This window comes from Homo sapiens, chromosome 10, assembly GCF_000001405.40.
Source record: "Homo sapiens chromosome 10, GRCh38.p14 Primary Assembly".
Lineage (NCBI taxonomy): Eukaryota > Metazoa > Chordata > Mammalia > Primates > Hominidae > Homo > Homo sapiens.
Window position 1 is genome coordinate 22,399,318 of NC_000010.11, and position 22,919 is coordinate 22,422,236.

General features: G+C 37.8%; 1 protein-coding gene across 6 annotated transcripts in view, besides 2 other annotated features; it reads left to right on the forward strand.

Annotated features, from left to right (window-relative positions):
• SPAG6 (sperm associated antigen 6) overlaps nucleotides 1–18,293 on the forward strand; it is a 72,115-nt gene extending 53,822 nt beyond the window's left edge. For 3 of the 6 annotated variants that reach the window (NM_001253854.2, NM_012443.4, XM_005252646.3), the window contains 3 exons: nucleotides 1,844–1,960; nucleotides 11,714–11,859; nucleotides 17,302–18,293. In NM_001253854.2, the coding sequence (NP_001240783.1) occupies nucleotides 1,844–1,960; nucleotides 11,714–11,859; nucleotides 17,302–17,371 (333 nt within the window). In that variant the 3' untranslated portion in view covers nucleotides 17,372–18,293. Of the gene's footprint in view, nucleotides 1–1,843; nucleotides 1,961–11,713; nucleotides 11,860–13,127; nucleotides 13,207–17,301 lie in introns of all 6 variants that reach the window. The other 3 variants (NM_172242.3, XM_047426030.1, NM_001253855.2) reach the window with 2 other exon arrangements.
• Nucleotides 8,986–9,526: an enhancer, noted in NCBI's record as "NANOG-H3K4me1 hESC enhancer chr10:22697232-22697772 (GRCh37/hg19 assembly coordinates)". NCBI's record gives its function as "activates a minimal SCP1, AML or CMV promoter by ChIP-STARR-seq in naive H9 embryonic stem cells {active_cell/tissue: H9 hESC(naive)}" and the evidence as "EXISTENCE:reporter gene assay evidence [ECO:0000049][PMID:30033119]".
• Nucleotides 9,527–10,065: an enhancer, noted in NCBI's record as "NANOG-H3K4me1 hESC enhancer chr10:22697773-22698311 (GRCh37/hg19 assembly coordinates)". NCBI's record gives its function as "activates a minimal SCP1, AML or CMV promoter by ChIP-STARR-seq in naive H9 embryonic stem cells {active_cell/tissue: H9 hESC(naive)}" and the evidence as "EXISTENCE:reporter gene assay evidence [ECO:0000049][PMID:30033119]".
• Nucleotides 18,294–22,919: the final 4,626 nt, after the last annotated feature.

Consider the following 22,919-nt stretch of genomic DNA (forward strand, 5'->3'; position numbering starts at 1 on the left):
ATTATACCCACCAGCTCCAGACAACTATTAATCTACTTTCTGTGTTTCTGAATTTGACTTTTCTGGACAATCCATATAAATGAAATTATACAATATATGAACTTTTGTGCCTGGCCTCTTTCACTAAGGGTAACATTTGTGAGGTTCATTCATGTTGTTGCATGTGTCAGTACTTCATTCCTTTTCATTGTCAAATAGACATGCAAAGAAAGTCTTAAGTAACTAGGATTTCTATCATGCTGGATAATATAGCTGATTATTAATTATGATATACATTTCTATCTAGAAGAATATAATCATAAGCTGATTATATTTCTTCCACATGAAAGATAGTAAAGCTCAGTGAATTTCTAGTGTCATTAGACTCTTTTCTACAGTTCTTGATTAATAACTTGACAATACATCAACTTAGAACTACTAGAATAAGGCTGTCTTTATTGTACAGTGTATGTGATTTCTACTACACTGTTCAAGAACCTTTTCACTGATAACAGTGAAGTTAAATTTGTTAGCTTGCTAAGATTATCACGATTTAAGATAGTTCCCAAGTATGTTGGGAATTGAGAGTTTAATTCCAACTTACATTATACTACTTGTGGGAAAAAGCTGGGCTGCATATTTTACATTCCTTGTTTTATTTAATCTAATTTATAAAACAGTGTTTGAGGATAAATGTGTCAAGCAATAAGAGGCTATGCAAGACTGCTTAGCCTGGGTCTCCAGGAAACCTTAAATTCAAGAGATTCTTTACTAACAACACACCTGTGGTAAAGTTTTGCTGAATAGATTTACCAATTATAAAGTTCATGATGTGAAAATCACAATGCTCCTTGACATTTCAAGAGCACTGCAAAACACTCAATAGCAAAACAGTGTGGTGATCCCAGAAGACCAGGTTGGGTAAGGCCTCAGAGAGAGAATAAGTGAAGAGAAAAGCCATAAGGGAGCACTGAAGCACAAAACCTCAGACAAGCAGATGTGGAATTCTAGTGGAAAATAGCTGGAGACAAACCCAATTGTTGTGAAGCTTTCCAAACTGAAGGGGACAGCCTTTAAGAAAAAGAAAATGAATCACAACCAGCCATGGCCTGAGGGCTGGCTGCTGTGATGTGCTGCAGCCCCATCAGGGTCCTTCTCCACTTGTAGCAAGGGTCAGCACCACCTGATGTCACCTTGAAATACGGAGTGCAGGAGGGGGTAGAAATGGTACATATGGTACGTATTCTTCTGCTTGTGGGTGATACACTCCCTGTGTTGAGAAGATCTGTAGTTGAGTAGATCCTATCTGTTTTGCTTCTGTGAATGGGGAAATGTCTACCTACGAGCTATAGCAGCACCTCTGCAAATGCTCATTGAATAATGCACACTGTAGCCACTTCTGACTGCATATGTATAAGCCATGAAGTCATGGAGAATATAGAATGCCTGATAATGACATTCTTCAAAAAACCAAATTATTTTCTCGTATTTGTTGATAAGTAGAAATGGGATATATTAGTTATCTCAGTTTCCTGTATACAAATTTTTACTCTAATATAGTACATATTAATTTATAGTCTGTAACTTTGTGCTTTATAATTTTAATTTTCTTCTAGGTATTTTAAGAGCTCAGTAATACACTTTACATTTTAAGGCTTAACACAAAGACAACTTGTAGGATATTCTATGATAAAATCAATCCAAGCAGGAGTTTTTTTTGGACAACAATTTTAAAAAATGAAACAACTGCAGCTTAGACCAGGAAATTGATTTTATTTTGAAATTCCAGGAATGTCAGATTTGAATTCTTGTCAAGGTTTCATTGATTACTTACTTATGTATACATTCTGCTTTGTATTTCTAGAGTAAAAAAGCCATAAAGAATATCCTGCAAAAATGTACCTACTTACCAGCCCTTGAACCATTTCTATATGATGCTCCTCCCAATATTCTGAAACATGTGGTTGGACAGTTCAGTAAGGTAAGAAATGCCAGCCTCTAAGGGGAGGAAGAAAATTAAAATGATTTGTTGTTATTTTTTTTTTCTGTTGGGTCAGTAGCTTTTTCTGTAACACGGGGTCATGGTTTTACTGCTTAACTCTCACCAATCTGTATGGACAGAGAAGTTACCTTAATAAAATTCACATGTAAATAAAACACTTTCTTCATCCTCACATTTTCCTTAGAGTCTCTACTGTCTTTTTAAGTGTTCCCAGAAAAGAAAGCTCTCATAATATAGATAATTTATATTGATAAGTGACTTTTAGTAATCTTTCTAGTGTCTTTCATTTCACTCACCTGGGAATATGGCAAAGATCATAAAGAGAAAAGGAAAAAGGTTTCTGAGCCACCGAAATATCTTTCATGAAGTCCATGTACTTTACTGGAGATGTTCTCAGACAGTCATTTGGAGCATATCGACTTATTTTGTGAACAATTTTAACAAATATAGCTGTCATATTTCTTAGATTGTTGCAGATTAAATGATAGTAAATGGTAGTAAGGTAGAAAGGTCAAGCTGCTATAAGTGGGCACAGCCAGCAGAGCTGATTACCAATAGCAAAGGATAAAAGAGAATGACTCTGTTACCACAGACACTGATAGTCAGGATGGTGACCCTAAGCTATCAAGAGCTGGCTAAATTATGCTCAGTGAATTTGACTTAGGAAAATGGGGTCTGTACAAGTAGTAGCCCATGGTGGTTATGAGCTCGGTTCTGAATTGGAGTACCTGGAGTTCCCACTTACCAGCTCTGTAATTCTTTAACAAAATGTTGACCTCTCTAAACCTTAGTTTGGTTACCCATAAAATGTAAATAATTAGAGTACTTATTTCATAGGGTCATTGTAAAGAGTAAATGAGATATTGTATGCTAAGCATTTAGCTCAATCCCAGGCACATATTAAGCACGCAAAAGAACAAAAACAACCAAAGAGTTGTATTTAAGAAATAAAACATGCAAGCGGGTCAGGCTAATTTAAAAGATTTAAAAAAAAATGAATGGGGTGTGGCAAATTCATTTGAATAGTCAGTTATAATGCTATATAAATGAGATATTACTCTTCATACACTATGTTTCTACAAATAATGAACAAAAACTATGTATTGTTATAACTTTTAAAGTAGTCCCTACAGATAAGTTTGCCTAGTTTTAGGTCTTCATCTGAAAGATAGAGTCTGCTAACAGCCTTCAGTTCTCTCAACTCTGTTCATGACCTCCAACAGTATGACTGGCCGTCAAGTGCCAGAGCCACAGGAAAGTAGAAGTTTCACATTGCTGAAGCCACTCACCCAGGCAGGATACAGTTCTGTGTATCAAACACCTATGTCCTTTCTTCCTCCTTCCAATAAAATAAACTGCCCCTCTTAGTTATATGGGATGTGAGGAATATAATGGCATGCCCTCTTGAAAAACCAACTAAATAACCAAATAATGCAGAGAAAAGACTAAATTACTGCAAGGGAAATTGATCCATTTCTTTATTTTTTGTATACTTTTGGGTGCTAAGAAGGTGACCAGCTAATTTGGTCCTCTAAGAGTGATAAGGGGTAAGGGGCTGAGTAGATCATCTACAGACAGAGTTATCTGTTCTTGAACTGGGTAATTGACATTATTTCTGAAAGTTTCATTTTGTAGTTTAATCTTTTAGGCTAGTGAGTGAGATATTCTGATTTTATTGAAGTAGCTATGAAAGTAAACACTAACCTACATTAAGAGTTCAAAATACATAAAACCAGTGGGATGTGTGGAAGTTAGACAGCCCCAAGATAAAATAAATACAGTACTGTATCATATACACTTATAAATGTGCCTTCAGGAATATTTTCTTTTTTTTTTAAATTTATTATTATTATACTTTAAGTTTTAGGGTACATGTGCACAATGTGCAGGTTAGCTACATATGTATACATGTGCCGTGCTGGTGCGTTGCACCCACTAACTCGTCATCTAGCATGAGGTATATCTCCCAATGCTATCCCTCCCCCCAACCCCCATCCCACAACAGTCCCCAGAGTGTGATGTTCTCCTTCCTGTGTCCATGTGTTCTCATTGTTCAATTCCCACCTATGAGTGAGAATATGCGGTGTTTGGTTTTTTGTTCTTGCGATAGTTTACTGAGAATGATGATTTCCAGTTTCATCCATGTCTCTACAAAGGATGTGAACTCATCATTTTTTATGGCTTCATACTATTCCATGGTGTATATGTGCCACATTTTCTTAATCCAGTGTATCACTGTTGGACATTTGGGTTGGTTCCAAGTCTTTGCTATTGTGAATAGTGCCACAATAAACATACGTGTGCATGTGTCTTTATAGCAGCATGATTTATAGTCCTTTGGGTATATACCCAGTAATGGGATGGCTGGGTCAAATGGTATTTCTAGTTCTAGATCCCTGAGGAATCGCCACACTGACTTCCACAATGGTTGAACTAGTTTACAGTCCCACCAACAGTGTAAAAGTGTTCCTATTTCTCCACATCCTCTCCAGCACCTGTTGTTTCCTGACTTTTTAATGATCGCCATTCTAACTGGTGTGAGATGGTATCTCATTGTGGTTTTGATTTGCATTTCTCTGATGGCCAGTGATGGTGAGCATTTTTTCATGTGTTGTTTGGCTGCATAAATGTCTTCTTTTGAGAAGTGTCTCTTCATGTCCTTCGCCCACTTTTTGATGGGGTTGTTTGTTTTTTTCTTGTAAATTTGTTTGAGTTCATTGTAGATTCTGGATATTAGCCCTTTGTCAGATGAGTAGGTTGCGAAAATTTTCTCCCATTTTGTAGGTTGCCTGTTCACTCTGATGGTAGTTTCTTTTGCTGTGCAGAAGCTCTTTAGTTTAATGAGATCCCATTTGTCAATTTTGGCTTTTGTTGCCATTGCTTTTGGTGTTTTAGACATGAAGTCCTTGCCCATGCCTATGTCCTGAATGGTAATGCCTAGGTTTTCTTCTAGGGTTTTTATGGTTTTAGGTCTAATGTTTAAGTCTTTAATCCATCTTGAATTGATTTTTGTATAAGGTGTAAGGAAGGGATCCAGTTTCAGCTTTCTACATATGGCTAGCCAGTTTTCCCAGCACCATTTATTAAATAGGGAATCCTTTCCCCATTGCTTGTTTTTCTCAGGTTTGTCAAAGATCAGATAGTTGTAGATATGCGGCGTTATTTCTGAGGGCTCTGTTCTGTTCCATTGATCTATATCTCTGTTTTGGTACCAGTACCATGCTGTTTTGGTTACTGTAGCCTTGTAGTATAGTTTGAAGTCAGGTAGCGTGATGCCTCCAGCTTTGTTCTTTTGGCTTAGGATTGACTTGGCAATGCGGGCTCTTTTTTGGTTCCATATGAACTTTAAAGTAGTTTTTTCCAATTCTGTGAAGAAAGTCATTGGTAGCTTGATGGGGATGGCATTGAATCTGTAAATTACCTTGGGCAGTATGGCCATTTTCACAATATTGATTCTTCCTACCCATGAGCATGGAATGTTCTTCCATTTGTTTGTATCCTCTTTTATTTCCTTGAGCAGTGGTTTGTAGTTCTCCTTGAAGAGGTCCTTCATTCACATCCCTTGTAAGTTGGATTCCTAGGTATTTTATTCTCTTTGAAGCAATTGTGAATGGGAGTTCACTCATGATTTGGCTGTTTGTCTGTTGTTGGTGTATAAGAATGCTTGTGATTTTTGTACATTGATTTTGTATCCTGAGACTTTGCTGAAGTTGCTTATCAGCTTAAAGAGATTTTGGGCTGAGACAATGGGGTTTTCTAGATATACAATCATGTCGTCTGCAAACAGGGACAGTTTGACTTCTTCTTTTCCTAACTGAATACCCTTTATTTCCTTCTCCTGCCTAATTGCCCTGGCCAGAACTTCCAACACAATGTTGAATAGGAGTGGTGAGAGAGGGCATCCCTGTCTTGTGCCAGTTTTCAAAGGGAATGCTTCCAGTTTTTGCCCATTCAGTATGATATTGGCTGTGGGTTTGTCATAGATAGCTCTTATTATTTTGAGATATGTCCCATCAATACCTAATTTATTGAGAGTTTTTAACATGAAGAGTTGTTGAATTTTGTCAAAGGCCTTTTCTGCATCTATTGAGATAATCATGTGGTTTTTGTCTTTGGTTCTGTTTATATGCTGGATTACATTTATTGATTTGCATATATTGAACCAGCCTTGCATCCCAGGGATGAAGCCCACTTGATCATGGTGGATAAGCTTTTTGATGTGCTGCTGGATTCGGTTTGCCAGTATTTTATTGAGGATTTTTGCATCAATGTTCATCAAGGATATTGGTCTAAAATTCTCTTTTTTGGTTGTGTCTCTGCCCGGCTTTGGTATCAGGATGATGCTGGCCTCATAAAATGAGTTAGGGAGGATTCCCTCTTTTTCTATTGATTGGAATAGTTTCAGAAGGAATGGTACCAGCTCCTCCTTGTACGTCTGGTAGAATTCGGCTGTGAATCCATCTGGTCTTGGACTCTTTTTGGTTCGTAAGCTATTGATTATTGCCACAATTTCAGATCCTGTTATTGGACTATTCAGAGATTCAACTTCTTCCTGGTTTAGTGTTGGGAGAGTGTATGTGTCGAGGAATTTATCCATTTCTTCTAGATTTTCTAGTTTATTTGCGTAGAGGTGTTTATAGTATTCTCTGATGGTAGTTTGTATTTCTGTGGGATCGGTGGTGATATCCCCTTTATCATTTTTTATTGCGTCTATCTGATTCTTCTCTCTTTTTTTCTTTATTAGTCTTGCTAGCGGTCTATCAATTTTGTGGATCTTTTCAAAAAACCAGCTCCTGGATTCGTTAATTTTTTGAAGGGTTTTTTGTGTCTCTATTTCCTTCAGTTCTGCTCTGATTTTAGTTATTTCTTGCCTTCTGCTAGCTTGTGAATGTGTTTGCTCTTGCTTCTTTAGTTCTTTTAATTGTGATGTTAGGGTGTCAATTTTGGATCTTTCCTGCTTTCTCTTGTGGGCATTTAGTGCTATAAATTTCCCTCTACACACTGCTTTGAATGCGTCCCAGAGATTCTGGTATGTTGTGTCTTTGTTCTCGTTGGTTTCAAAGAACATCTTTATTTCTGCCTTCATTTCGTTATGTATCCAGTAGTTATTCAGGAGCAGGTTGTTCAGTTTCCATGTAGTTGAGCGGTTTTGAGTAAGATTCTTAATCCTGAGTTCTAGTTTGATTGCACTGTGGTCTGAGAGACAGTTTGTTATAATTTCTGTTGTTTTACATTTGCTGAGGAGAGCTTTACTTCCAAGTATGTGATCAATTTTGGAATAGGTGTGGTGTGGTGCTGAAAAAAATGTATATTCTGTTGATTTGGGGTGGAGAGTTCTGTAGATGTCTATTAGGTCTGCTTGGTGCAGTGCTGAGTTCAATTCCTGGGTTTCCTTGTTTACTTTCTGTCTCGTTGATCTGTCTGTGTTGACAGTGGGGTGTTAAAGTCTCCCATTATTATTGTGTGGGAGTCTAAGTCTCTTTGTAGGTCACTCAGGACTTGCTTTATGAATCTTGGTGCTCCTGTATTGGGTGCATATATATTTAGGATAGTTAGCTCTTCTTGTTGAATTGATCCCTTTACCATTATGTAATGGCCTTCTTTGTCTCTTTTGATCTTTGTTGGTTTAAAGTCTGTTTTATCAGAGACTAGGATTGCAACCCCTACCTTTTTTTGTTTTCCATTTGCTTGGTAGATCTTCCTCCATCCTTTTATTTTGAGCCTATGTGTGTCTCTGCACGTGAGATGGGTTTCCTGAATATAGCACACTGATGTGTCTTGACTCTTTATCCAATTTGCCAGTCTGTGTCTTTTAATTGAAGAATTTAGTCCATTTACATTTAAAGTTAATATTGTTATGTGTGAATTTGATCCTGTCATTATGATGTTAGCTGGTGATTTTGCTCGTTAGTTGATGCAGTTTCTTCCTAGTCTCGATGGTCTTTACATTTTGGCATGATTTTGCAGCAGCTGGTATCGGTTGTTTCTTTCCATGTTTAGCGCTTCCTTCAGGAGCTCTTTTAGGGCAGGCCTGGTGGTGACAAAATCTCTCAGCATTTGCTTGTCTGTAAAGTATTTTATTTCTCCTTCACTTATGAAGCTTAGTTTGGCTGGATATGAAATTCTGGGTTGAAAATTCTTTTCTTTAAGAATGTTGAATATTGGCCCCCACTCTCTTCTGGCTTATAGAGTTTCTGCCGAGAGATCAGCTGTTAGTCTGATGGGCTTCCCTTTGTGGGTAACCTGACCTTTCTCTCTGGCTGCCCTTAACATTTTTTCCTTCATTTCAACTTTGGTGAATCTGACAATTATGTGTCTTGGAGTTGCTCTTCTCGAGGAGTATCTTTGTGGCGTTCTCTGTATTTCCTGAATCTCAATGTTGGCCTGCCTTGCTAGATTGGGGAAGTTCTCCTGGATAATATCCTGCAGAATGTTTTCCAACTTGGTTCCATTCTCCCCGTCACTTTCAGGTACACCAATCAGACGTAGATTTGGTCTTTTCACATAGTCCCATATTTCTTGGAGGCTTTGCTCATTTCTTTTTATTCTTTTTTCTCTAACCTTCCTTTCTCGCTTCATTTCATTCATTTCATCTTCCATTGCTGATACCCTTTCTTCCAGTTGATCGCATTGGCTCCTGAGGCTTCTGCATTCTTCACGTAGTTCTCGAGCCTTGGTTTTCAGCTCCATCAGCTCCTTTAAGCACTTCTCTGTATTGGTTATTCTAGTTATACATTCTTCTAAATTTTTTTCAAAGTTTTCAACTTCTTTGCCTTTGGTTTGAATGTCCTCCCGTAGCTCAGAGTAATTTGATCGCCTGAAGCCTTCTTCTCTCAGCTCGTCAAAGTCATTCTCCATCCAGCTTTGTTCCGTTGCTGGTGAGGAACTGCATTCCTTTGGAGGAGAGGCGCTCTGCTTTTTAGAGTTTCCAGTTTTTCTGTTCTGTTTTTTCCCCATCTTTGTGGTTTTATCTACTTTTGGTCTTTGATGATGTTGATGATGATGATGGGTTTTCGGTGTGGATGTCCTTTCTGTTTGTTAGTTTTCCTTCTAACAGACAGGACCCTCAGCTGCAGGTCTGTTGGAATACCCTGCCGTGTGAGGTGTCAGTGTGCCCCTGCTGGGGGGTGCCTCCCAGTTAGGCTGCTCGGGGGTCAGGGGTCAGGGACCCACTTGAGGAGGCAGTCTGCCGGTTCTCAGATCTCCAGCTGCGTGCTGGGAGAACCACTGCTCTCTTCAAAGCTGTCAGACAGGGACACTTAAGTCTGCAGAGGTTACTGCTGTCTTTTTGTTTGTCTGTGCCCTGCCCCCAGAGGTGGAGCCTACAGAGGCAGGCAGGCCTCCTTGAGCTGTGGTGGGCTGCACCCAGTTGGAGCTTCCCAGCTGCTTTGTTTACCTAAGCAAGCCTGGGCAATGGCGGGCGCCCCTCCCCCAGCCTCGCTGCCGCCTTTCAGTTTGATCTCAGACTGCTGTGCTAGCAATCAGCGAGACTCTGTGGGGGTAGGACCCTCCGAGCCATGTGTGGGATATAATCTCCTGGTGCTCCGTTTTTTAAGCCGATTGGAAAAGCACAGTATTTGGGTGGGAGTGACCCGATTTTCCAGGTGCCGTCTGTCACCCCTTTCTTTGACTAGGAAAGGGAACTCCCTGACCCCTTGCGCTTCCCGAGTGAGGCAATGCCTCGCCCTGCTTCGGCTCGCGCACCCACTGACCTGCGCCCACTGTCTGGCACTCCCTAGTGAGATGAACCTGGTACCTCAGATGGAAATGCAGAAATCACCCGTCCTCTTCATGGCTCACGCTGGGAGCTGTAGACCGGAGCTGTTCCTATTCGGCCATCTTGGCTCCTACCTCCCATGAATATTTTCTTAATCTAAAGATACCAAAGCACTAAAAAGAGATGATAAAGCAAGGTAGAAGGTGAAAAGATACTGAAGTGGCTGGGGACAGAGATAGGAAGTAATGAAAATTCTCCAGGCCAAATGAAATATGTAAAACCAATATATTTATAGAATATTACATTTTTTACAAATATATACTAGTGCAATCTTCTGTTGTCCAGCTGATTTATATTATTGCTCTATTAGCAAGATCCTTTTGTGGTTTTAATTATTTGTTAAATGCCTACATGTACCCAGCTCTCTGTTGAGCATTGGGGAACAGACAAAAAAGATTAAGTTGTTCTTCAGGGAACTTTATAATCTAGCTGAGGAGAGCAGACAAAACAATTAGAAAACATTTCAATGTACTAGACTTGGAGATAAACTTTTTTTAAAAGAAGGAATGAGTGAATATAGTCTGAAGTCTTCAGATAGGGCTTCAATGGAGGAAGGACAAGTGAAAAGAGCTGGTCCTTGCAGAAGGAACAAGATCAGAAAAAAAGAGCGTTTCGGTCAGAGGGATAGTAGCAGTGACTAAGGAAGAGAGCAGGACTTCCCACATTGTGACCCCACCCCTTCCCCAGGACCTTCCTAGTCTGGTCAGTCTTTTTTTTTGTCTCTCATAATAAATTTCTTCATTTCCACTGGCTTTTTCCTGTCAACCTGCAAACGTGCTCAAGTCTCCCTGATCCTAAGATCAAAACCTGCAACATCTTTAGCCTTTAGTTCTATCCTACCGTGGTCTACTGATACCCTGTTTTCTCTTTCTGAAACTTTAAAGTTTGCCTTGACTTCCTTACTTGGGACACTTTCCTCAGCTGCTGATAGCCTGCCTTCCTCAACCTCCCCTCCACACACAGCTGCCTTTAGTCAAGTCTTCAGCACCTTCTCTTCACTGTCAGATCCAGTGACTTGTTTTTTAGTTTTCATTGGTTGCTTTAAGAAACCTTCTCTTGGATTTATTGATTCCTTACGTTTCTGATCTTCTGTCTCTCTAACATTTCAGTCCCCTTTCTATGCCTACTCTTTAGTATATTCATTCATTTGTTAAACATTTGTTGAACCTCTGTTAGGTACCAGGCACGAGGGAAATGAATGAATGAACTCAAGTATAGTTTCTGCCTTCAGTGACATTGTGACAGACATATAATGGATAATTAAAAATTAAAATTAAAATATTATGTGGTATTTAGGTATTATGTGGTAAGCACGTGGATGGTGGTTTGACAGAATGCTGACAGAAGAAAAGGACTCAACTCATCCTGGGATAAGGGGATAGGGGCTTCCAGAGAAGGATTCTTAAAGGAGGTGACACTTGAGCTAAGTCTTAAAAGATGACTAAGAGTTAACCAAGCATAAGGGGAGAGGTTTGTGGAGTGTGGAAAGCCATTTTAGGAAGAGGTAGCAGCGTGGGCAAAGGCAAGAGATGACACAGCATGCATGCTGTGATGTTACTGAAACAATATTTAGGATGGAGATTAGTGGTGGCTGGAGAGGTATTTAGGAGCTGGGTCCCAGAGGACCCTTTGTGCCTTGTTAAGGAGCTTGCCTTTAAATTCTTAGGGAGCAAAGAGACCTTGAATGGTGTAAGCTTTATATTTTACATCTGTGAGTGGATCTCCATTGCCTTTGCCCATGTTCATTGCCTTTATTTCATTTCTTCAACCTAAAAATTAACACATTCTAAAAAGCACATTTCACTTCAAATTAGCAGCAGATTTGGCTCATTATGTTATAGGTATATTGGGTATAAATTCTCTTTTACATTTTCTCACATACAGTATTGCTTTTCAATAGTAATAATCTAACTTGGAAAAGAAAAGCTGACATTTTATGTGCTTCACTTTGCAAGGTGCTGCCGCATGATAGCAAAGCTCGACGACTTTTTGTAACAAGTGGTGGCCTTAAAAAAGTTCAAGAGATAAAAGCAGAACCTGGTTCTCTCCTTCAAGAATACATCAACAGTATTAACAGTTGTTACCCCGAGGAAATAGTGAGGTGGGGAAAATGGACTTTGAAACGTTCAATATTAGAATGTAGTTTTTCTGTTTTCACATCTAGGTTTTATATCCACTGTGTCAAAATGTGGACTTTGAAATACGATGTGAGGCCAATATGTACCTTTATTTCTCTCTTGATCTCTTCCCCCTGCCAAATTAATTAATGATCTGACTGACACGCACATTTCCAATTCAAACTGGAATGTCATTTAAGACATTTTTGTACTAATTTAACATGTGCTTTACTAAAGAGTACCCAAATATAGAGTTCAAAGTAACCAGTTTTTAAATTGTGAATACCTGATTATAAAAGGCCTATAGATTCTGAGTTTCATAGTTCCCTGCATATTACTATTCTACCTTAAGCTCACATTTACATTAATGAGACTATCACAGGTAGAAAAGAGATGTTGAGTAACAACAAAAAAGTTATTATCTAAATGCAAAAAAACCCCAAAATGATGTTTATTATTTACAGGTACTTCAGAGTAATATAGCAAGATGCTATTTTCAGGATTAATAAAAAAGATTCATTTTTAAATGAAGTTGATTTGCAGAGCATTCAACCTAAGCCTCGGTCCTTGTAAGCCTAATGGAGAACTATTCCACTAAACTCTAAATAAATAAAAGCAAAAAAAGAGAATGATTTAAACAACTGAATCTTTTTTTTTTTTTTTTTTTTTTTTTTGAGACAGAGTCTTGCTCTGTCGTCCAGGCTGGAGTGCAGTGGCGCGATTTCGGCTCACTGCAAGCTCCACCTCCCAGGTTCACGCCGTTCTCCTGCGTCGGCCTCCCGAGTAGCTGGTACTACAGACGCCCGCCATCACGCCCAGCTAATTTTTTTGTATTTTTAGTAGAGACGGGGTTTCACCGTGTTAGCCAGGTTGGTCTCGATATCCTGACGTCGTGATCCGCCCGCCTAGGCCTCCCAGAGTGCTGGGATTACAGGCGTGAGCCACCGCGACCGCCCGGCCAAACAACTGAATCTTTAAAAATGCCCCCAAGGCATGCAGGATAAAGGCATATTTATCTGTATTTTCTAATCCTACATTTATTTCTTATTTTCTTTGATTAATATTGGAAAATATAAATTCTAATTTTTAAAACTTACATGCTGTAACATATACTTACGCAAGTTGCAACATGTCTGTTAATTCTTCCTGTTTAATATCAATGGTGTTTAATACGTATGGTAACATTAATTTTAAAAGCACAAAAGCAATTTTAAGATTAAAATTTGTTTTCTATCCACATATTTTTACCCAGTAAATTCTTTCCAGAGTTGCAAGTTTGTGCACTTTTTAGGAAGTTTATGAGAACTCCTTGACCAAAAGAGTTCCAATAGGTAAGCTTTGAAATATTAATATATATGATACATCAAAGCAGTGATATATCATAACATGTATAATTAGTCTACATATAACACTCTGTCTCCAGGCTGGAGTGCAGTAGCGCGATCTTGGCTCAACTGCCATCTCCGCCTCCCGGGTTCAAGCTATTCTCCTGCCTCAGCCTCCCAAGTAGCTGGGACTACAGGCACACGCTACCACTCCCAGCTAATGTTTTGTAGTTTTAGTAGAGACAGGGTTTCACCATGTTGGCCAGGATGGTCTAGATCTCTTGACCTTGTGATCCGCCCACCTTGGCCTCCCAAAGTGCTGGGATTACAGGTGTGAGCCACCATACCCGGCCACAAATTTATATTTTAAAAGTTTGTATAACATAAAATGTGTAAAACCGTTAAATAAAGGAAATATTAAAATCTTTTTTGAAGAAAACAAAATTAATTTTTATACGTGGAATATGTGTCCCTTCACGAAGAATGGTATTTTATATAAGTTTAAGGTAACTTTCAATGCAATTTTGTTACAAAGTTACAGAAAGATGCAAAAAAAAAAAAAAAAAAAAAAGAACTAAAGTGTCCCCAGAATGAATGACCTATTAGAATCAACCAATGGTAAGGTACTTTATTGAAGAGAAGTTTTTTTTTTTTTCCACTTTTTTGAAGGCATATTTTAATTGAGCACCAGGAAAAACTACAAACTGCATCACATTAGAAATTAATCTAGTGCTGGCCAGGCTCAGTGGCTCATGCCTGTAATCTCAGCACTTTGGGAGGCCGAGGCGTGGGGATCACGAGGTCAGGAGATCGAGACCGTCCTGGCTAACACGGTGAAACCCCGTCTCTACTAAAAATACAAAAAATTAGCCTGGCATGGTGGCGGGCGCCTGTAGTCCCAGCTACTCAGAAGGCTGAGGCAGGAGAATGGCGTGAACCTGGGAGGCGGAGCTTGCAGTGAGCCGAGATTGTGCCACTGCACTCCGGCCTGGGTGACAGAGGGAGACTCCGTCTCACAAAAAAAAAAAATTAATCTAGTGCTTTGTCAAAATACCATTGTAAATTTTTAACTTCTCCACTTCCCCAATTCTGTGGGCTGGGATTTCATTTTTAAAATTGGCTAATTATTATAAAGAATTTTGGTTACCTGACTAATGTTTTCAAATTTCTGATATATATATATATATATATTTCACCCACACAGGGCAAGTAGGAAAACCTCAGTTATGTTTTAAAGCATTAGGTTCTATAAAATCGTATTTTATAGAAATCTTGGAAATGTTGTCTTTCTATAAAAATAGACAAATATAATCTCAAAATAGTTTCATTTTTACAATTACATAATTCTCAAGAATCACTTGGTGATAACTATTTTAGAATTAATTATCCTTTGTAAGACAGTTTATCAACTGATACATTCATCTGTTACTAACCTAAATATTTATTTCATACTGCCTTCCGATTTAGTAATCTTTAAATTTTTTTAATGAAGAAAGGTAGGTAAATGAGAGGAAAGGGGTCTGGACTAGACATTAGAAGACCTAAGTTCTGGGCCTGGCTTACTCCACAGCCATAAGGTGTTTTTGAATTCCTTTTTCTTCAAAATCTCTGCCTCAGCTGGGGTGGGGAAGCAGCTTTGGGGCAACATCTAATTTGGGGAGGGAGACATGGACACAGTCTGCCATTCAGCATAATTCTGGTATCATAACAATATAATAATAACCCCAATTCTCTGTGGGTCTAGGATAAGGTTAATTCGCTTACATTCTTAAAGGACATTTAGAGGTAAGTTGGGATAGCTGTGGTTGCTGGCCAGAGGGAAGGAATTTCCTGGTCTTATCTGGAGGCTCATATTGGTTCTTTCCGAAGGAGTACGCTAAGAGCTCAGGCTTAGGTGTCAAACAGACCTTAATTCCTCTCTCAGTTATAACTACTTACTATAACTAACTATTACCTTGAAGGTAATAGTTAACCCCTTTAGCCACAGTTTCTGCATCTGTACAAGGTGGTTAAAGATAATTACCTATTTCATAGTTAGAATTAAATGAGAAAATGCTTAGCCAAAGGGCTACATGTGGCTACTGAGGACTAGAAAAATGGCTAGTATGTCTGTTAAACTGAATTTTTAATATTGAATTTAAAATTTATAAACTGACACTTGATTCAGTTATTGGAAAACTTTTAGATATGTTTGGAACCACTTGCAAATTTTATGTAATCTAAATACAGACATACTAGCCATTTTCTTAAATTAATTAATTTTTTTGAGACGGAGTTTCACTCTTGTTGCCCAGACTGGAGTTCAATGGCGTGATCTCGGCTCACTGCAACTGCCACCTCTGGGGTTCAAGCAATTCTCCTGCCTCAGCCTCCTGAGTAGCTGGGATTACAGGCATGCGCCACCATGCCCAGCTAATTTTGTATTTTTAGCACGGACGAGGTTTCGCCATGTTGGTCAGGCTGGTCTTGAACTCCTGACCTCAGGTGTTCCACCCTCCTCAGCCTCCCAAAGTGCTGGGATTACAGGTGTGGGCCACTGCACCCGGCCCATACCAGCCATTTTTCTAGTCCTCAGTAGCTGGTGGCTCCCATTCAGTCTACATATAGCTGGTGGCTCCCATATTTAACATGGTAATAACAATTATTATTAATCTAATATCAATGATAACATCATTATATCAATACTAAGAATACTATATTATTAAATAAGTAAAATATTAATATGTTAATATGGTAAATTAAATATTTATTACATTAAAATATAAAATTTATTAATATTTAAATTAAAAGGTTAAAATTTTAAAGATATTTAAAAATCTACCTCTTGAATTCATATTATCTGGTGTCCGATACATTTGAAGGCCTAGGAAGGTAAAGCCTGCTTTAAAATTTTTGACTAACTCAGAGAAGAAGCAGTTGTGAATTTCTCAGTGTAAGAATACTTCGAAGAAACCCACTGTTGAAAGACAATTTTTTCAAGAGTAAGAGGCTGTTAGGGGAGAAACATTCTTTAAGGTAGCTTTTTGGGTGTGTACATAAGTAGCTGTTTAACTATGGATGCCTGTAAGCACACTACTCACTACTAAGAAAATATGGCTGTATTTTTTGGTCCACCTTAGCTTGATAAATTGTGGAAGGAATTTTAGTGTAATATAAATTATGAGTTTTTAGGTCAAGCATCTGGGCATAGATAAAGATAACTAACAAAAGGCAAAGCAAGTCTCTAATATTAGGTTTTATCTGGAGAAAATGCCTTCAGAAGCTTAATTATTTTGAGTGTTTTGAGAATTTTTGAATTATACTTCCATAGATTTAAAAAATTATTCTAGAATGCCTGCTAAATTTTATTTGACATTCATTTATCTGCATGTAAGTTATTTCCATGACGTATTAAGCATCTCACAATGCACTGATCAACATATTTAATACTTTTATACTAAATCTTGTATAAAATGTTCAATTTATGAATGTAAATGTATAGTACTATAGATGCCCAAGAACTATTAATAGTAAAAATGATTAATTTCCTAGGTTTCTATGATACAAGTATTTGTAAATAGTTTTTCAATACTAAATTATATTTTATTAAATAGTTTTTCAATATGAATTATACTTCCAGAAATTTTTGTTTTCCTAGGTGACCAGATCTGATTAAAACCCATGCTGAGAATGATCTCTAAGGCAGTTAGAATGCAGAAGTTGATTAGTAACAATAGACTGTGTAGTCTAACTTATGAAAAAAAAAATCTATTAGCTAGGATCCTTAAAGCAACATTAGCCACTTGATGTGATTAAAATGAAGTCTCTGTAATAAAATATTGTCAGTGGATTGAAGATTCTTGTTTGGAAAATGTCCCCTTTGCCATTACATTTATATCCCTTAAATGTTTTGCTACTTCTGTAGCACAGTTTTATGAATTCGTATTTTCCTCCTGGATAGCCTCTAACTTTATGCACAAAGCATTACTGGAGCATAATTATTCAGAGTGTATTTGAGATTTCACTCACAGGATTATTTCAGATAAATCCCCTATATTGAATCTTATGTGCCTGCTGTGTTGATCGTTTCACCAGCATTTAATAGTGTATTTTCTTTTTCAGGTATTATTCCCCTGGATATTCAGATACACTTCTGCAGAGGGTGGACAGCTATCAACCACTTAATAACTGAGCAAAGTTATATTGTGATACTCAAATTCACAGCAGAGTAGTTTTGAGTAACAGTAATTAAATCCTTCTAAATATTTGAACTAAGTATATTCTAGATTTATTTAATGGGAAATACCTTTAGATAATATTTTCTAAATTTATGTAATACTTTAAACATTCGTAGCTTGAATATGTGAGGAACTATTCATGGTCATTCGCATGCATAGGATTTGTTCTACAGGTAGATTTTAAAAACACGTTAAAGGGCCTTAAGGCATTTTGTTATTCTGTTAAAAACCACACACACTCGTACATGCAGACACCTCCAATGAGATATAGTTAAGAGATGGCATTCAAAAACCCTAAATTATTCTAGCCAATTTGTCATAGGCATAGGCAAGGAAAGCTGGCCTTGCTAACTATATAGTAGTATACACAAGAGAAATCTTTGAAGGAGGAAACTGATGACAGATATACAGGGCACTTGAAGGAGACTCTGATGCTAGTTATATAAGTGCATTAACTTAAGACACGGACTCTGTGGGTAACCTGTTAGGTTTTACTAAGAATTTAGGAAAAATTTACTCCTCTTTATCACAAGTTTTCCAAACCTCCTTCCCCACCCTATCTAAAGTGTTCCTTACCTTTCATGGGCCCAGCGAGGGTAGAATTCAGAATAGAGAGTTATACTCCTGCATACATGCTCTCCCTCTCATTGAAAGGTTTCTTAGTCTAGCTCTGCTCATGAATGAACAAAGAAGCAGGCATGTAAAATGGATCCTTGTCCTAACGTCACTTTCCCAAGTTTCAAAAGTCACATTTTCAGGTATTTAAGGAATAGTTTGAAGCTAATACCATCAGGCTCAGAGTTTACATGCATTTTTACTTAGGAAGTGGTAAACGGGTGAAAGAGGGTTTCAATAAAATTTTAAATAAAAACAGCATTAGAATTGTCCTTTTCATTTTTCCTATCCAGTGTGTTGCTGACCTTGGGGAATATGTGATTGGATTTATGGGTCTTGGTTAGTTGCTGTGTATGTGTCTTTTGCTTTAAAGGGATGTTACTTCTGCTGCTCTCTCCTGGAGGAGGTGAATGATAACCCACACAGCCCCTAGGCCACAGTGTTTCCAGTCTGACTCTGTTTTCAGGTTTCCTTCTTTGACTCTCTCTCTCTTTTTTTATTTTTTTCATGCAAAAGGAGCTACCCGTTTGTTTTTTGTATTTTCTGGATTCATCTCTGTCATCATTATTTCCTAACAGTGCATAACTTTGTTGTGTCTTTTAAAACTTCATAATACCCGAGATTACCTCATTTTGTTTTGCCTTATATCCGGCTAAGATTGTTGGTTATTTCATTTTTTTTTAATACTTCCTTGGGCCTGTTTTGTTTCCTTGCAGCAATTTCTTTGACCTGTTGAATAGGAAAATGTAATTTGTATTCCCAGTTTTGTAGCTTTCCTTTCTTTCTTTCATGCCTACACAGCTTGTCTTATGAATCTTTTAATTGGAGAAAATAAAAGTAGTTTTTATCTTTCTTCATTAGGGCTGTTTTTCTTAGATGTGTTGGTAATGACAGAAATTAGTTTATCTGGGTTAAAACCACCTCAGATATTGTTGGAATGTCAAATTTCCTAGTTGAAAATTTTCACTTCATAGATAATTTCATACTTATCAAACAGCACTAAACAAAGTAATAAAATACTTAATAGTGTTCAGATGGGTGTTATAATTTGATCATATGCATTGTGGAAAATTTATGCTATGAAATGTTTCTTGACATAAAACTCTTTAAACAAAATGAAGCTTTACTTTTTGAAAAGTATGTTGTGAGATTTAAAAAATATATATAAAAACAAAATCTTTTTCATTTGTCATAGGGCAAAAATAATGTCTGTTATTAATGATAATTCACTGATATTTTTCACCCCTCATTTGAATTTTGTCAATTCTAATTCCCTGTGCAAACCCCTGTCCCACTGCTCCCTACCCACCCCCAGCCCCAGGAGTTTATTTAAAATTCCCCTGTTCTTAGGAATTCTCAACTTACATGAACAACTATTTTTAGGACTTCAGTTCAGGAATAGAATTACTTGGACCTTATTATTATAGATTCAGTCCTTTCACCTGTTGTGGAAATAGGTGAAATCAGTGGTACCTGAAAAGAGATGTTGGAAACATAGGTTCTAGTCTCTCTCTGTTAAGTATTATAGTAAGGGTGATAATAGTTGCTCAGCTTACTCATAAGAAGCTTATGAAAATAACCTGCAATGGTGAAAATAACAATGTTATAAACAAATCCATTTTATACAAACTCGACATGTGATTAATGGAAAACCTAATAGTCAATGACAGATTACATATTTTAGCCAGCAATTGTGCAATATTCCCCAGGCCCCACACTCTTAGATAAGTGTAGTTCAAACCAGATGATTTATGATTAAAAAAACCCCTACATTTCCTGCCCTCATGGAGTTTTCTAATATAAACACATTTGCCGAGACAGAGGCAGTGGAATACGCACAAGACACTAAACACAAAGCAGGCATATTTAATGTAGTATGGAAAAACAAATGACAACCCCATATTTACAGGATATTGACCTGTTTTTCTAACCCCTTCCTCTCAAAGAAAACCCTTTTCCTTAAAGAAAGGATGAAAGGTTTGCTTGTTTCTAAACTTGATTTGAGGTCCTGCTTAACATAAACCCTGACCTTAAATTCCTGGGTGAGGCCCATCTCCCATCCCAGATGTCAAGTTTAGAAACCAACCTTGAAAGAATGAAGAATTTTTCTGTTGTGTTTTCAAATAGCCAATTCTTTGATTAAGATAGGTGCTACCAAATGTTGAGGTTTATGTACACTGTGGCTTATTCTGCCACAGAATTCACTGTTTAGAAAATGTTGATTTGTAGCTCTTCTGCTTCTTTCAGGTGATTAAAAGGATCAAGTGGCTGTCCTATAATTATTACATTTACCAGTTGTTTAAGAGACTTTTGACTTTTAAAATTAAATTTGTTCATGCACTTATTTTTCTAGTAACATAAATACTTACATTGTTTTGTTTTTACAAGGCCTTGGTAGGCCATAAAATTAGATGCATATTCAGTGATATTACTTTAGAGAATGGTGGGTTTTATTGTTTTTTAGGTATCAATAAGTTAATTTTTAAAAAAAAATTAGGCAGTATATGAATGGATAAAGAAAGAAGCAAAAATATGACTCCAGATCTCACAACCCAAAACAGAATTGTCATTAACAAGCTGAGATAGTTCCAAATAGCTCTCCAAACCTTTGTACGGCTAGAAAAATTCCGGAAAAATGTATTCATGCTACACATGTTATTTTAAAATTAAAAACAAAAGTTACTGCAGTTTGCTTGTTTCGTGGAAGATAGAGTTTTCACTTTGTTTTTAATTTTAGTGGGTTTAGGGAAAAATATTTCCTTGGGGATTAAGTTAGAGGTCAATACAAAATATTTATAAATGGGCTTCTGTTATTCATGATTGATACATTTTCTGAAGTAGATTTAAACTGAATGCTGGATAAAGAATATTATATCAATATATATCATTATTGCAAAGTGATTTGGTATGGATATTTATACATTAAATAAAGCCTCTAAATTTCCTCACGTATATAGAATTTGTGGTAATACACTCTCGCTAATTTTTTTGTTTTTTTTTGAGATGGAGTCTCGCTCTGTCACCCAGGCTGGAGTGTAGTGGTATGATCTCGGCTCACTGCAAGCTCCGCCTCCTGGGTTCACGCCATTCTCCTGCCTCAGCCTCCCTAGTAGCAGGGACTACAGGCGCATGCCATCACGCCCGGCTAATTTTTTTGTATTTTTAGTAGAGATGGGGTTTCACCGTGTTAGCCAGGATGGTCTGGATCTCCTGACCTCGTGATCCACCCGCGTCGGCCTCCCAAAGTGCTGGGATTACAGGCGTGAGCCACCGCGCCTGGCCCACTCTTGCTAAAATTTATGCATTACTGATAGTAAATGATTTACTCAAAGTATTTTTGGATATAAAGAAGTCCAACTCTATGAAAACTATTGTAACCTATATTGAGTGTTCTGTTTTTTTATTTCTGTCTGCATGTATAGTTTAAGTCATACAAACAATACAAGCGAGTAAAGTGCCAAAGGGAATGTCAACATTTTCCCATATTTTTCTTCACTAACTGAAGATGACCTTTTACTTAGATGAGTGAAATGTGTCCTGTTCTCAGTCCCCAGTGTCACCCAGCACTGTGATGAGCACACAGGAGAACCAGCAGCAGGTTGGACTGAGAGTAAGAGCCTCTAGGCTTCTGGTTGACCTTAGGTCACGCTAGCTCTGACCACAGCAAGTCTCCTCAAGTCTCTAGGCCTTAGTAGACCCGTATAAGAATGTCAAAACTACCACCCCAGTCAGTGGCCTTGGCAAGTTGCTAATAGCACCCACTACATCAGATTCTGAGGATTAAATGAGGATGAGCCAGCAGAAGGTGTGGCATGTAGTAAATGGTGCCACCGTTACTCTATATATCTTTGTATAATATAAAAGGTGCCCAGTCCTCAAGATAGTTTATTTCCATCTGGCAGAAATTATTGTAATAGTCTTATTTTGTTAGAGCAACACACTTTACTGCCATCTGCTGGAAAATTATCTTTATAAATATGGAAATCTGTGATGTCTAATATGTGAACTGTGCCCCCTGAGAAGTGCTGGTGCCCTTGTGAAGTACACAACCTGTGTGACCATGCACATAAGTGCTTGATAAATCATATTTGCTACTCTTCTTTTCACTTTTGTAATGGATTTCCAAAAGAGTTTCAGATAAACAATGATACTGGATGAAGAAATTTATTTTAAAAAATCAGAGTCAAAGTTAATATCAATAAAAAGAATCAGCATTTTGTTGCAACACCTGGAAACATTTTTGCCCACTACTTCCCTCACTTCCCCCTTCCCCCACAGAAAAGTGTGCTCTGCAATAAAACCTGCAATCTAAGTTAGCAGAGATGCTAATTAAGCCATTATTCTTGCATTTATAAACACTGTATGTGAGACCAAATTTGGGGCCACATTGTATGTATGCAAAACCAAAGCACATTTTGGAATAACCCATATGGCCTTTTCATCTTGACTTTAAAAATTGAATAAAAAATATTATATTAATAATGTATCATCACTGCAAGATGGCAGATCTCCGGAAAGCGACACTTCTGGGCTTCATTTTCTTCATCTCAGAACCTGGGTTGGGACATAACAGGTGTCCCTCTCTTCTAGCCAGACAGTCCTTAATGAAGGGATATCATAGTACCATTTTGAACACAAAAGGAAATATTTGGCTCATTTTCATAGCTAGCTGTACAGTCATGGAGAAGACTGACCAAAGTTGGATAAAGGAGAGTTTATTGATAACGGGAGCACTCTCCCAGGACACAGGATTTATCACTCTGGCAAGGGTGATAAGATGACTCTTGGAAGCTTGGAGAAAGCAGCAACAGCCCATGGCAAGTGAAGTGGAAATGCCATAATTGCCAGGGCCAACTGGAAGAGGTGTCAAGTGACTCAGAGAGGTGG